Source organism: Homo sapiens, chromosome 10 (genome assembly GCF_000001405.40).
Source record: "Homo sapiens chromosome 10, GRCh38.p14 Primary Assembly".
Classification (NCBI taxonomy): domain Eukaryota; kingdom Metazoa; phylum Chordata; class Mammalia; order Primates; family Hominidae; genus Homo; species Homo sapiens.
In genome coordinates, this window is record NC_000010.11 from 43409220 (window position 1) to 43424085 (window position 14866).

General features: G+C 49.3%; 1 long non-coding RNA gene and 1 other non-coding gene across 2 annotated transcripts, besides 5 other annotated features; one reads left to right on the forward strand and one right to left on the reverse strand.

Moving 5' to 3' along the window:
- Positions 157–386: a silencer, noted in NCBI's record as "silent region_2330". NCBI's record gives its function as "represses an Ori minimal core promoter by ATAC-STARR-seq in GM12878 lymphoblastoid cells {active_cell/tissue: GM12878}" and the evidence as "EXISTENCE:reporter gene assay evidence [ECO:0000049][PMID:35858748]".
- Positions 6362–6656: a silencer, noted in NCBI's record as "tiled region #12153; HepG2 Repressive non-DNase unmatched - State 9:DNaseU". NCBI's record gives its function as "represses a minimal TATA promoter and a strong SV40 promoter by Sharpr-MPRA in HepG2 cells {active_cell/tissue: HepG2}" and the evidence as "EXISTENCE:reporter gene assay evidence [ECO:0000049][PMID:27701403]".
- Positions 8031–8221, reverse strand: SNORD3J (small nucleolar RNA, C/D box 3J). The gene has a single exon (NR_145740.1). It is a non-coding gene; the product is annotated as a small nucleolar RNA, C/D box 3J (small nucleolar RNA).
- Positions 11203–11462: a silencer, noted in NCBI's record as "silent region_2331". NCBI's record gives its function as "represses an Ori minimal core promoter by ATAC-STARR-seq in GM12878 lymphoblastoid cells {active_cell/tissue: GM12878}" and the evidence as "EXISTENCE:reporter gene assay evidence [ECO:0000049][PMID:35858748]".
- Positions 11400–14183, forward strand: LINC02916 (long intergenic non-protein coding RNA 2916). The gene is made up of 2 exons (NR_186397.1): positions 11400–11847; positions 12451–14183. It is a non-coding gene; the product is annotated as a long intergenic non-protein coding RNA 2916 (long non-coding RNA).
- Positions 11459–12195: an enhancer, noted in NCBI's record as "H3K27ac hESC enhancer chr10:43916126-43916862 (GRCh37/hg19 assembly coordinates)". NCBI's record gives its function as "activates a minimal SCP1, AML or CMV promoter by ChIP-STARR-seq in naive H9 embryonic stem cells {active_cell/tissue: H9 hESC(naive)}" and the evidence as "EXISTENCE:reporter gene assay evidence [ECO:0000049][PMID:30033119]".
- Positions 11553–11632: an enhancer, noted in NCBI's record as "active region_3299". NCBI's record gives its function as "activates an Ori minimal core promoter by ATAC-STARR-seq in GM12878 lymphoblastoid cells {active_cell/tissue: GM12878}" and the evidence as "EXISTENCE:reporter gene assay evidence [ECO:0000049][PMID:35858748]".
- Positions 14184–14866: the final 683 nt, after the last annotated feature.

Genomic DNA, 14866 nt, shown 5'->3' on the forward strand with positions numbered 1-14866 from the left:
CCGGGGGCGGGGCCGCGACGGCGCATTGTGACGCGCCAGAGCTGAGCCGCCGGTTGGCCGGCTGGGCGCGGAGCAGAGCCGACACGGCTGGCGGGGGAGGCGGTGGAGGCGGACAAGCGAGGACGTTTCTGGAGAGGAGAAGGGAGGGGAGGGGAGGGGATAGGGGGAGGGGGAGGAGGAGGAGGGAGTGGAGCGGCGGGAAAGATCCCTCTGACTGCCCCTGAGGCCCTGGAGGAAGGACACTGGTGAGCCCCGCAGGACACTGAAATGTGCGCCGAAAGGACGCCTGATGGAAGACTAGGATGGGAAAAGGAAATGAGAGCCGATGGCAGGGCGTGGTGGCGCAAGCCTGTGGTCCCAGTAATTTGGGAGGCTAAGGCGGGAGAATCGCTTGAGCCCGGGAGGTCGAGGCTGCAGTGATCCGTGACTGCTCCATTGCGTCCAGCCTGGGCGACAGAGCGAGGCGCTGTCTCAAAAAATAAAATAAGGAAAGTAGTACACTGAAGGCCGGGCGCGGTGGCTCACGCCTGTAATCCCACCACTTTGGGAGGCCGAGGCGGACGGATCAGGCGGTCGGGAAATCGAGACCATCCTGGCCAACATAGTGAAACCCCTACTAAAATACAAAAAAATTAGCCAGGCGTGGTGGCGCGCGCTTGTAGTCCCAGCCACTCGGGTGGCTGAGGCAGGGGAATCGCTTGAACCCGGGAGGCGGAGCTTGCGTGAGCCGAGATCGCGCCACTGCACTCCAGCCTAGCGACAGAGCGAGACTACGTCTCAAAGAAAAAAAAAAAAAAAAGGTACACTGAGTACTCCGGAGACCGCCTAAAGGGGTCTCAGAGCAGGGCGTTAGGAGGGATTTGTCAGGTTGAAGTTGCTCAGGTGATAAATTCCGTGGTGTGAGAAGCCCCCAAACCTCAGAATGTAACTCAGACCCAGGTCGAGGGCAAGATTTTCAGTCACAGAGCACCTGAACACACAGATTTGGTGGCTAATGGCTAAGCCAGGGACAGATTTTCTTTCTTTTCTTTTTTTTTTTGATGTATTGTAGGGCTAATAATTGTAACCATTTTATTTTGGTGGATCTTCTTCATGAAGAGATGATGTCAAGGCACTCATCACAGGTTAAGCTGAACATTGTTACTATTGTTATTATTTCCAGACTGAGTATCGCCCTGTCATTCAGGCGGGAGTGCAGTGGTACAATCACGGCTCACTGCAGCCTCGACCTCCTGGGCTCAAGCGATCCTCCTGCCTCAACCTCCTGAGTAGCACCACCACTCTCGGCTAAATTTTGTATTTTTTGTAGAGGCGAGGTTTCGCTGTGTTGCCCGGGCTGGTCGGGAACTCCTGGACTCAAGCCATCCGCCCACCTACGCCTCCCAGAGTGTTGGGATTACTGGATTGAGCCACGCATCTGGCTGAACGTTATTTTTTAAATCACCAGAGAAAGTAAAGGAGTGCTCAAAATAGTGTCAGATGATGAGTGGGATGATTGTGATGAAGGAAGGAGTTTGTTAAAAGAAAAAGCTAGTTCCAAGAAAGAGAATGGAAAGAGTAAAGCAGGAGCTGTCAGAATAGGTAAAAATGTCCAAAGAGAAAACTGCATAATTTGAGGCAAAATTACAGAAAATAGTTCCTGCAAAAATCAGATAGGTATTCAGCATCATAGGAAAGGGGCGAAAATCAGATAGGTAGGTATTCTTAAGAAGTTGTGGCCGGCCGGGCGCGGTGGCTCGCGCCTGTAATCCCAAGACTTTGGGAGGCCGAGGTGGGTGGATCACCTGAGGTTAGGCGTTTGAGACCAGCCTGGGCAACATGGCGAAACCCTGTCTCTACTAAAAATACAAAAAAAAATTAGCCGGGCGTGTTGGCGCGTACCTGTAGTCCCATCTACCCTGGAGGCTGAGGCAGGAGAATCGCTTGAATCCAGGAGGTGATGGTTGCAGTGAGCCGAGATTGCACCATTGCCCTCCAGCCTGGGTAACAAGAGCGAAACTCTGTCTCAAAAAAAAAAAAAAAGTCATACAGTGACTGCATCACAGCTCATGCTGTAGAAAGATGTTTCTGGAGAGAAAAATTCAAGTAGCCAATTTAAATCGAATATTAGGAAAATTAAACCAAAAGGGCTCACGCCTGTAATCCTAGCACTTTGGGAAGCCGAGTCAGGCGGATTACCTGAGGTCAGGAGTTCAAGACCATCCTGGCCAACATGGTGAAACCCTGTCTCTACTAAAAATACAAAAATTAGCCGGGCGTGGTGGCACATGCCTGTAATCTCAGCTACTCAGGAGGGTGAGGCAGGAGAATTGCTTGAGCCCAGGAGATGGAGGTTGCAGTGAGCCAAGATTTTGCCACTGCACTCTAGCCTGGCCGACAGAGCAAGACTCTGTCTCAAAAAAAAAAAAAGAAAGAAAATTAAACCAAAAGACTAGTAATGCTTCAGAAATTAGGGACTGTTAAACCAGCTGCAAGAAGATATATTCATGCAATCTTTGTATTAAGAGTCTCTCTGGCTGGGTGCGGTGACTCAGACCTGTAATCCCAGCACTTTGGGAGGCCAAGGCCAGTGGATTGCTTGAGCCCTGGAGTTCAAGACCAGCCTGGGGAACATAGTGAGACCCAGTCTGTATTTTAAAAGTTAAAAAAAAAAAAAAGCCTCTAAGCTAAGTGGACCTTTGATCCCCTCACTCAAATTTGACAGTTCTCCATTATTCATAAATGAGGTAATAGTTGTTGGAGACGGTCTTCTCTGAATGCAAGACTAGTACTTTGGCCTGATTATAGAACTTCCTGCCGTCCTAAGGAGTCATCCCAGGTGTCCACTATATCTTTTTCAGCATTGAGTACCAGCACAGTCACATGTAGGCTTTATCCCACAGTGAAGACTTGGCATCACTCAGAATGATGCCACAGGTCCTAGGCCTTTTCCACACTGGGCTCACTTCACCAACTCGCAAATGCTCATCCACACCTGGTCCACCTGGACTACCTCCTTATCTGTAGCCCTTTCACCTCTGTGTCCATAGAAATGTCTTACCTAAGCTCTGAAATCTAAACATTCAGAGAGCACCTTGATGCTTGAGAGCATCTACACAGAGATGAACCTTTAAGATCTATGGTTTAAAACAATTGAATTCCAAGATGTTGCCCCTTACAGACTGACCTGCCTGATTATTTCCTGTTGTTTATGTACATTGATTATTATCAAAAACTTAATACTTTATTTTTTTTGAGACGGAGTCTCGCTCTGTCGCCCAGGCTGGAGTGCAGTGGTGCGATCTCAGCTCACTGCAAGCTTCTCCTCCCGGGTTCACGCCATGCTCCTGCCTCAGCCTCCCGAGTAGCTGGGACTACAGGCGCCCACCACGGCGCCTGGCAAATTTTTTTTTATTTTTAGCAGAGACAGGTTTTCACCGTGTTAGCCAGGATGGTGTCAATCTCCTGACCTCGTGATCCGCCCGCCTCGGCCTCCCAAAGTGCTGGGATTACAGGCGTGAGCCACCGCGCCCAGCCAAAAACTTAATAGTTTTTAATAAATATTGTCAGGTTTTTTTTTTTTTTTTTTTTTGAGACGGAGTTTTGCTCTTGTCACCCAGGCTGGAATGCAATGGCACGATCTTGGCTCACCGCACCCTCCACCTCCCAGGTTCAAGCGATTCTCCTGCCTCAGCCTCCCGAGTAGCTGGGATTAGAGGTGCCCACCACCAGGCCCGGCTAATTTTTGTATTTTTAGTAGACACGGGGTTTCGCCTTGTTGGCCAGGCTAGCCTTGAACTCCTGACCTCATGATCCACCCGCCTCCGCCTCTCAAAGTGCTGGGATTACAGGCGTGAGCCACCGCGCCTGGCCAATATTGTCAGTTTTAAAAAATAAGTTCCCCTCTAGACACTACTTATCCATACAATTGGTTACAGGTTTGGAGCGTTACAGAGGTTTTTAAATCTTCTACTCAGTAGTTCTTGAAAAATCACCTTACCTATTAAGCTGAGATTCCCCCTTCCCGCAAGACGGTGCCATTAAGTAGGCAGGGATCACCAAGGTTCAGAGATGTCTCTTGCTCAAAAATCATAGTATCTGTTAAATAGCAATAACCGTAGCTAACACATACTGCATTCTCACTATGCTTTGTGCTATTCTACTTAATCCCACTGAAACCTGGTAACAACCCTGCAGTAGATACTACCACCATTTGGCGGAAAGAAACTGAGTCACCCAGCTTCTAGATGGCTGAGCTGGAAGTTGTATGGAGGCTGGAGGCCCCATCTGATTCCAGGGTCCGTTCTCAACTACTGCAATCTAGATCCTAGCGAGAAACGGGCTTTTCAGGCTGTCTCCTCCCTTTCCCATCTGAGAGGAGAATGAAGGAAGTGAGAAAGCCAACTGACCTGTCTAGTCAGTATAGGCCCTGTCTAAATGTCACTTTTCTCCTTGAAGCGAGGTGCTCTAGGAGGCAGAGATAACCCAGGTGGGAAGAGGCACATTCGGCAGTGACAGCCTTGTCTGGTTAATTTTCATGACCAATATAGAAAAGTGCAACTTTGAGGCCGGGCACGGTGGCTCACGCCTGTAATCCCAGCACTTCGGGAGGCCGAGGCCGGCGAATCACGAGGTCAGGAGATTGAGACCATCCTGGCTAACACGGTGAAACCGTGTCTCTACTAAAAATACAAAAAATTAGCCAGGTGAGGTGGCGGGTGCCTGTAGTCCCAGCTACTCGGGAGGCTGAGGCAGGAGCATGGCGTGAACCCGGGAGGCGGAACTTGCAGTGAGCCGAGATGGCGCCACTGCACTCCAGCCTGGGCGACAGCGAGACTCCGTCTCAAAAAAAAAAAAAAAAGAAAGAAAGAAAAGTGCAACTTTGAAGCTGCTCTGATACTCACTGAAGTGAGCTACCACCAGGAAGGCTGGATCCCTAGGTTATTTGCAATTCTTTCAGAGAACTTGACAGTTCTTTCAAATAGCACTTTTTACTGTGTATTAAATAGTGAAAGAAGGATTATGGGATACCTGAGCTTGCTGGTTACTTGCTTGAATTGGTTTCTTTGCCCAATAAAGGACCACAGCTTGATTAGGTGGTAGTGGCCAGTGTTGGTGGAGTGGCTGCCCTTACTTTGCCCATTTCCCCAGCAGGCCAAGCAAGCAACTGAGGGACTCACTTGGATGTTAGTAAGCTAAGTTCTAGCTCTTTCTTCACCCTTTTATTTTATTTTTTTGAGGCGGAGTCTCACCCTGTCGCCCAGGCTAGAGTGCAGTGGCACGATCTGGGCTCACTGCAAACTCTGCCTGCCAGGTTCAAGCAATTTTTGGATAATTTTTGTATTTTTATTTATTTACTTTTATTTTATTTATTTATTTTTGAGACGGAGTTTCCCTCTTCTACCCCAGGCTGGAGTACAATGGTGTGATCTGGGCTCACTGCAACCTCCTCCTCCTGGGTTCAAGCGATTCTTTTGCCTCAGCCTCCTGAGCAGCTGAGATCACAGGCACCCACCACCATGCCCAGCTAAAGTTTTTTTTTTTTTGGTATTTTTAATAGAGATGGGGTTTCGCCATGTTGGCCAGGGTTGTTTCGAACTCCTGACCTCAGGTGATCCGCCTGCCTCGGCCTCCAAAGCGCTGGGATTACAGGCATGAGCTACTGCGCCCAGCCAATTTTTGTATTTTTAGTAGGGACAGGTTTTCACCATGTTGGCCATACTGGTCTGGAACTCCCGACCTCAAGTGATCTGCCTGCCTTGGCCTCCCAAAGTGCTGGGATTATAGGCAGGCATGAGCCACCACACCTGGCCAGCTCTTTTTTCATTCTAAGTCATCATCTTTTAGTCTGATCATGAGTTTTCCTACCAAAAACTGTGTACAGTTAGATGCCTTCAGCTCTATGGAGCCTCAGAAGAGTCAGAAAACTTCATTTGGATCAAAATGTGCAAGGGACAGGACAGCATGCACCTTCTCTTTCTCTCTGCCTTTCTTTTTCTCCTATTAACTTACATTTAAAAAAAAATTATGGAATATTTGAAACATACAGAAAATTATAGATATATAACAAATTTAACAGACATTTTGCTCTTTTATTGTTTTTGGACAAAAGATAACAGATAGGCCAGGTGTGGTGGCTCACACCTGTAATCCCAGCACTTTGGGAGGCCGAGGCGGGCAGATCACAAGTTCAGGAGTTCGAGAACAGCCTGGCCAACATGGTGAAACCCCATCTCTACAAAAAATACAAAAATTAGCCAGGTGTGGTGGCATGTGCCTGTGCCTGTAATCCTAGCTTTCGGGAGACTGAGGGAGAAGAATCACTTGAACCGGGGAGGTGGAGGTTGCAGTGAGATTGTACTCCAGCCTGGGCAACAGAGCAAGACTGTCTCAAAAAAAAAAAAAAAAAAAAAGATTATAGATAAACCAGTGCTCTGAGGTGCTTTTCGGCTCTTTAAAAAGCATTACTGGGCCAGGCGCGGTGGCTCATGCTTGTAATCTCAGTGCTTTTGCAGGCTGAGGTGGGCGGGATCACCTGAGGTCAGAAGTTCGAGATAAGCCTAACCAACACGGAGAAACCATGTCTGTACTAAAAATACAGAATTAGGCGGGCGTGGTAGCACATGCCTGTAATCCCAGCTACTTGAGAGGCTGAGACAGGAGAATCACTTGAACCCGGGAGGTGGAGGTTGTGCTGAGTGGAGATCACACCACTGCCCTCCAGCCTGGGAAACAAGAGCGAAACTCCATCTCAAAAAAAAAAAAAAAAAAAAAATTGCGAGGCGCGGTAGCTCACGCCTGTAATCCCAACACTTTGGGAGGCCAAGGCGGGCGGATCACCAGAGATCGGGAGTTCGAGACCAGCCTGACCAACATGGAGAAACCCCGTCTCTACTAAAAATACAAAATTAACCAGGCATGGTGGCACATGCCTGTAATCCCAGCTACTAGGGAGGCTGAGGCAGGAGAATCGCTTGAACCCAGGAGGCGCAGGTTGCGGTGAGCCGAGATCGTGCCATTGCACTCCAGCCTGGGCAAGAAGAGTGAAACTCTCAAACAAAAAAAAAAGCATTACTGGCCAGGCGTCGCAGCGGCTCATGCCTGTAATCCCAACACTTTGGAAGGCCGAGGCTGGCGGATCACAAGGACAGGTGTTGGAGACCAGCCTGACCAACATGGTGAAACCGGTCTCTACTAAAAATAGAAAAATTAGCTGGGCGTGGTGGTGGACGCCTGTAATCCCAGCTACTCAGGGGGCTGAGGCAGGAGAATCGCTTGAACCCGGGAGGCGGAGTTTGCAGTGAGCCGAGATTGAGCCACTGCACACTCCAGCCTGGGCAACAAGAGCGAGACTCAGTCTCAGAAAAAATAAATAAATAATAAAATAAAAAGCAGGCCGGGTGCGATGGTTCACACCTATAACACCAGCACTTTGGGAGGCCGAGGTGGGCGGATCACGAGGTCAGGAATTCGCCACCAGCCTGGCCAACATGGTGAAACCCCGTCTCTACTATAAATACAAAAATTAGTGGCTGGGGGCAGTGGCTCATGCCTGTAATCCCAGCACTTTGAGAGGCTGAGGCGGGAGGATCACGAAATCAGGAGATCGAGACCATCCTGGCTAACACAGTGAAACCCCGTCTCTACTAAAAATACAAAAAAAAAAAAAAAAATTAGCCGGGCGCAGTGGCAGGCGCCTGTAGTCCCAGCTACTCAGGAGGCTGAGGCAGGAGAATGGCGTGAACCCGGGAGGCGGAGCTTGCGGTGAGCCAAGATCGCACCACTGCTCTCCAGCCTGGGTGACACAGCGAGACTCCGTCTCAAAAAAAAAAAAAAAAATTAGGCGTGGTGGTGCGCGTCTGTAATCCCAGCTACTCCAGAGGTTGAGGCAGGAGAATCGCTTAAACCCGGGAGGCGGAGGTCACAGTGAGCCGAGATCATGCCACTGCACTCCAGCCTGGGCGACAGAGCAAGATTCTGTCTCGAATAATAAATAAATAAAAATTAAAAAGCATTACTGTAAATATATTTTTTTACTTTGGTAACTCAAACCATTCAGCCTGTGTCCTCTCCCTCTCATTCCCCCACGGAGGAGAAGAAACCTCAATGGCGAAAGCAACACCAAGCGCCGGCTTCACACTCAGGAGAAAACTGCACCTCCTGTCGTTTCCGGGGGCTCTACACTTTCACAGAAAGTACTCTAGTAGCAGACTATAGAAATGATCCCTGAAAGCCGCCTAATTTTTGAATGATAAAATATTTCTAAATTGGTCAGGCACAGTGGCTCATGCCTGTAATCCCAGCACTTTGGGAGGCTGAGGAGGGTGAATCACCTAAGGTCAGGAGTTTGAGACCAGCCTGGCCAACATGACGAAACCCCTTCTCTACTAAAAATACAGGCCGGGTGCGGTGGCTCACGCCTGTAATCCCAGCACTATGGGAGGCTTGAGGCAGGTGGATCACCTGAGGTTAGGAGATCAAGACCAGCCTGGCCAACATAGTGAAACCCGGTGTCTACTAAAAATAGAAAAATCAGCTGGGCGTGGTGGCACACATCTGTAATCCCACCTACTCGGGAGGCTGAGGCAGAAGAATTGCTTGAACCCAGAAGGTGGAGTTTGCAGTGAGCCGAGATGGCTCTACTGCACTCCAGCCTGAGCCACAGAGCGAGACTCCTTCTCAAAAAAAAAAAAAAAAAAAAAAACAACAAAAAACCTGAAGATAACTTTATATAGTCAGTGGGGAGTATTGAAGTTTCAGGATCAGAGATTTAATAAAATTTGTGGCCCTTTAGGTAAATATCTTTAAAGAATATTGTTTCAGGCAACGTAGTTTGTGTGTGGGTGTGTGCTGTCTTGACTTAGATTTTAGGCTCTGGCTAAAAGCCAGTTAGTTCCTCTTCTTGAGCTGCCGATTATGTCTGCACCCCCAACCACCTCTGTTATCAGGCTCAAACACTCGGGACCATTATACACCGTAATCACTCCAGGGCCAGTTACCAGACAACTAGGGCCAGCCCCATGCCCCTGAGCCCCCGGAAATTACTCAAATTAGCCAATCCCAAACCTGTTGGCCTTGCCTAACCCTTCTCTTCCTGCAAAAACCACAACAAAGGCTCTTCTGCAGTTCCCCCCTCACTCCCTCTGCCTAGTGACCCCTTCTGCTCCTGCTGAGTGGCCTTGTGTGAAGCCCCAGGGAAATGAGAGTACAAAACTAAAACTTGGGCCAACGTGGTGGCTCACGCTTGTAATCCCAGCACTTTGGGAGGCAGAAGCAGGCAATCACTTGAGGCCAAGAGTTCAAGACCAGCCTGGCCAACATGGTGAAACCCTGGCTCTACTAAAAATACAAAAATTAGCTGGGCATAGTGGCGCGCACGCCTGTAGTCCCAGGTACTCGGGAGGCTGAGGAGGGAGAATCGCTTGAAACCGGGAGGTGGAGGAGCAACCTCCTCTGGGAGGCTGGAGCTCCACTACTCTCCAGCCTGGGTGACGGAGTAAAAGACTGTCTCAAACAAAAAACAAAAACAAAAACTGTAAAACTGGTTTGTAACTCCTGTGCTGCATCTAATCTCACCATACCTCACCCAAGGTAAACTGTTTTGTTTGTGTTTTTGTGTTTGAGACAGAGTCTGGCTCTGTTACCCAGGCTGGAGTGCAGTGGCTCGATCTTGGCTCACTGCAGCCTCCACCTCCTAGATTTAAGCAATTCTCCCGCCTCAATCTCCCAAGTAGCTAGGATTACAAGCATGTGCCACCAAGCCCAACTAATCCTTGTATTGTTAGTAAAGATGGGGTTCCACCATTGGTTGGCCAGGCTGGTCTCAAACTCCTGACCTCAAGTGATCCACCTGCCTCAGACCCCCAAAGTGCTGGGATTACAGGCATGAGCCACCGTGCCTGGCCAAATCTGAGCTTTTTATAAAATCTTCATCATAATGGTTCTTAATAATGTTGACTTTGAAGTTTTCTTCCCTCCAACAACAGAGAGTGGGGAAAAAAGATAGTTCATAAAGATCAGTTGATCTTTTTAAAATAATTTTTTTTAAGACAGAGTCTTGCTGTATTGCCCAGGCTGGAGTGCAGTGGCACGATCTCAGCTCACTGCAAGCTCCGCCTTCAGGGGTCACGCCATTCTCCTGCCTCAGCCTCCCGAGTGGCTGGGATTATAGGCGCCCACCACCACGCTCGGCTAATTTTTTGTATTTTTAGTAGAGACGGGGTTTCACCGTGTTGGCCAGGATGGTCTCGATCTCCTGACCTCGTGATCCGCCCACCTCAGCCTCCCAAAGTGCTGGGATTACAGGCGTGAGCCACTGCACCTGGCCTAAAATAATTTTTAATTGACAAATAATTGTACATATTCATGGGGTACATAGTGATGTTTTGATACATATAACGTATAGTGATCAGGATAATTAACATCCATCATCTCAAATATTTATCATTTCTTCCTGTTGGGAACATTCAATATTTTTCTCCTAGCTATTTGAAACTATTATGGTGAACCAAAGTCATCCTATGGCATAGAAAACCAGATAGCTGTACTTATGTATATCCTTTAGCAAATCTCTCCTTATCCTTCCTTTCCCCCTACCATTCCCCTTTTAAATTTTTTTTTTTTTACTTTTTGGAGACAGGGTCTCACTTTTTCGCCCGGGCTGGAGTGCAATGGCGCGCAGTCTGGTCTCACTACAACCTCTGCCTCCTGAGCTCAAGCGATCCTCTCATCTCTGCCTCCAGAGTAGCTGGGACCACAGGCTCTCGCCAGCACGCCCCGCTAATATTTGTATTTTTCTTTTTATAGAGACGCGTCTCGCTATGTTGCCCAGGCTGATCTTGAACTCCTGGGCTCAAGCAATCCGTCTGTCTCCGTTTTCCAAAGTGCTGGGATCACAGGAGTGTGCTACCGCGCCCAGCCTTGTTTTTTTAAATTATTTTTTGTTGAAGGGTCTTGCTGTATAGCCCAGGATGGAGTGCAGTGGTGCGATCCCGGCTCACTGCAGCCTCGACCTCCCGGGCTCAAGCGATCTCTCCGTCCTCAGCCTCCCAAGTAGCTGGGACCACAGGCGCGTGCCACCACCGTGCTCAGCTCCTTCCCAGTTTAACTGTGGTTAAAACTGGTGTGTGAAGGCAATGAGAGAGACCCGCGAAAAATGAGAAACAAGGGTTAGGGCTGACGTCTTTTGCGGACAAAGAAAAAGAAACCAAAGTTTCCTCAGAAAACTTAAGTTGCCTCACAGCCGCCTGGTATCAGGAAACACTGAGCCCGCCCAACGCGGGATCCTCCAGGGGCAGGCCGCCTGAGGCCCACCCGGAGCAGGCGGGGCGGCCGCAGGACCACGTGGCCCAGAGCGCCCTTCCAGCGCTGCCGGCGGCGGGGCGGGTGCCGGGCGCGCCTGCTGCGCGGGGCGGGACGCGGACTCCCAGGCTCTGCGGAGAGCGGCTGCCACTCGCCTCTGTTTTTTTCTTGAGACCTAGTCTGGCTCTGTGGCTCAGGCTGGAGTGCAGTGGCGTGATCACCGCTCACTGCAGCCTCAGCCTCCTCTCGCCTCAGCCGCTCGGTAGCTGGGACCACCAGCGGGCGCCACCACTCCCGGCTACATTTTTTTGTATTTTTAGTAGAGACGTGGGTCTCGCCATGTTGGCTAGGCTGCTGCCGAACTCCGGGGCTCAAGCGATCCGCCCGCCTGGGCCTCCCAAAGTGCTGAGACTGCAGGCATGAGCCACCGCGCCCGGCCGAGAGCCTCTTTTGGCTCCTCCTTTCGCCTTTCCGGGGCCAGGCGTGTGCAGCTCTGTGAAGGGTCCCCTCCCTCTGCGGGACGTCCTCGCTGCCGAGGTCAGAGGTGCGGAGAACATGAGACCCGAGGTGCGTTCCAGCATGTTCCTGCAGCCCTCCACTCCCGCGGTTGCGTAACTCAGATCCCTGAAACACATCGCACATACACGTGACTGGTGGTTTCTCTCTTTAACCCTGATAGATACAGGAGTCCACTAACAGAGATAAGGAATTGTACCATGTACTCCATGCTTCAATAACTGGGTGCTTAGAGACAAGCCTGAGTTCTTACTGCCATCCTAACACCCGCAGCAGAGGTTAACCTACTATCGGACAAGTGGTCAACTTTTCTGCCTTCGGGAAGACTTGGGGCTGGGCTGAGAGAGATAATCTAGAACTTTTATAGTGATCCCGTGTACATTTCCCTAGAATGATGGATTAGGGTATAGTGATTAAATATATAATGTATACTTTAATATACATTAAAAAGTTCTGGAAGGATGTACTTCAAAATGTTATCAGTGGTTTCTTCCATTTTTCCCGTTTGGAATATTGGAACAACCGACTATGTTATTTTAGCCCTTTCTCCTTCCTTCATTGCTTCTCCAAATTCAGGGGCCTCATTGGAGCAAACTTGTTTGCAGGTCATCTGGGCACCCTCTTGAAATAAATCGTCTCTCTTTGCTCTTACAGGTCTCAACTGCTTCTTACCAATATTAATTCCAGTGACTACTATCAGAATATGATGAGCAATCCACTCATCAGAGAAGCTGTTTCTACACTCTCCTGAATGACCATTTTATAGATGCTGGGAAAAAATTGTATTAAAGACTATGAGTTAGCTGGGCTTGGTGGCTCACGCCTGTAATCCCAGCACTTTGTGAAGCCAAGGCGGGAGCATCGATTGAGCCTAGCAGTTCAAGACCAACCTTGGCGGCATAAGCGAGACCCTGTCTCTACAAAAATTTTAAAATTAGCCAGGTGTGGTGGTGTGCACCTATAATCTTAGCTACTTGGGAAGCTGAGGTGGGAGGATTACTCAGCCTAGGAGGTTGAGGTTACAGTGAGCTGGGATCACACCACTGCCCTTCAGCCTGGGTGACAGAGCAGGACCCCGTCTCTTAAAAAAAAAAAAAAAAGTGGTGGACTTTGTTATCCTTATGCATATGACTCATCAATATATCTGTATTTCCATATAGAAAGAACACTTAGACCGGGCACAGTGACTCACGCCTGTAATCCCAGCACTTTGGGAGGCCAAGGCTGGCGGATCACTTGAGGCCAGGAGTTCCAGACCAGCCTGGCTAACATGGCAAAACCCTGTCTCTACTAAAAAATACAAAAATTAGCCTGGTATGGTGGCACACGCCTGTAATCCCTGCTACTCCGGAGGCTGAGGAATGAGAATAGTTTGAACCTGGGAGGTGGAGGTGGCAGTGAATCAAGATTGCTTCACTGCACTCCAGCCTGGGCGACAGAGTGAGACTCCATTTCAAGAAATAGATAACTAAATAAATAAAATAAAAGAGAACACTTAGAAAGGAACATGCTATAGCAAACTAAAATTATAGATGTCAAAAATTTAATCTGGATTACCCAGCATCTCCTATAAGAAACAAAGGGGCCCTCTCCCTCTCCCTCTCCCTCTCCCTCTCCCTCTCCCTCCCCCTCCCTCTCCCTCTCCCTCTCCCTCTCCCTCTGATGCCGAGCCAAGGCTGGACGGTACTGCTGCCATCTCGGCTCACTGCAACCTCCCTGCCTGATTCTCCTGCCTCAGCCTGCCGAGTGCCTGCGATTGCAGGCGCGCACCGCCACGCCTGACTGGTTTTCGTTTTTTTTTGGTGGAGACGGGGTTTCGCTGTGTTGGCCGGGCTGGTCTCCAGCTCCTAGCCGCGAGTGATCCGCCAGCCTCGGCCTCCCGAGGTGCCGGGATTGCAGATGGAGTCTCGTTCACTCAGTGCTCAATGGTGCCCAGGCTGGAGTGCAGTGGCGTGATCTCGGCTCGCTGCAACCACCTCCCAGCCGCCTGCCTTGGCCTCCCGGAGAGCCGAGATTGCAGCCTCTGCCCGGCCGCCACCCCGTCTGGGAAGTGAGGAGCGTCTCTGCTTGGCCACCCATCGTCTGGGATGTGAGGAGCCCCTCTGCCTGGCTGCCCAGTCTGGCATCCAGGCAGACTGGATTAGGCAGTGGTTAAGAGTCATCACCACTCCCTAATCTTAAGTACCCAGGGACACAAACACTGCGGAAGGCCAAGGCCGCAGGGTCCTCTGCCTAGGAAAACCAGAGACCTTTGTTCACTTGTTTATCTGCTGACCTTCCCTCCACTATTGTCCTATGACCCTGCCAAATCCCCCTCTGCGAGAAACACCCAAGAATGATCAATAAAAAAAAAATAAATTAATTAAAAAAAAAAATTTAATCTGTTATTTGTTACTGGAATATGTTCATTCTTGCACTTGGGACTAGAGTTAAGAGTATTTTAGAAATTGCAAACCAAATAATGAAGCTCCCATGTAGATCTGACTCAGAAAAACACAGAACACTGTGCGGAACACCATCCCTTTTCTCACCTTATACCCCTATTCTACCTCCTCCATCCCTGGAAACAAGGCAACAGTCCTCTTTTGTAGTTACACAGTACCTTGCTTTAGACATTCTAACTGCCTTCATCCTCTCAAAACTAGATAATTTAGGTAAGACTTAAGAAGTTTCAGACTGCTGGCCGGACACGGTGGCTCATGCCTGTAATCCCAGCACTTTGGGAGGCCAAGGTGGGCGGATCACCTGAGGTTGGGAGTTCATAGACCAGCCTGACCAACATGGAGAAACCCTGTCTCTACTGAAAATACAAAAATTAGCTGGGCGTAGGAAATGTATATATTTCCATAAAGTATTGAGTCTTCTGTTTAATCACATCAGTAGGAATCTAAAAGCAATTTTGGATTTTTTTTTTTTTTTTTGAGATGGAGTCTTGTTCTGTCACCCAGGCTGGTGTGCTATGGTGCAATCTCAGCTCACTGCAACCTCCGCCTCCCGGGTTCAAGTGATTCTCCTGCCTCAGCCTCGTGAGTAGCTGGGACTACAGGTGCGTGCCATCACGCCCAGCTAA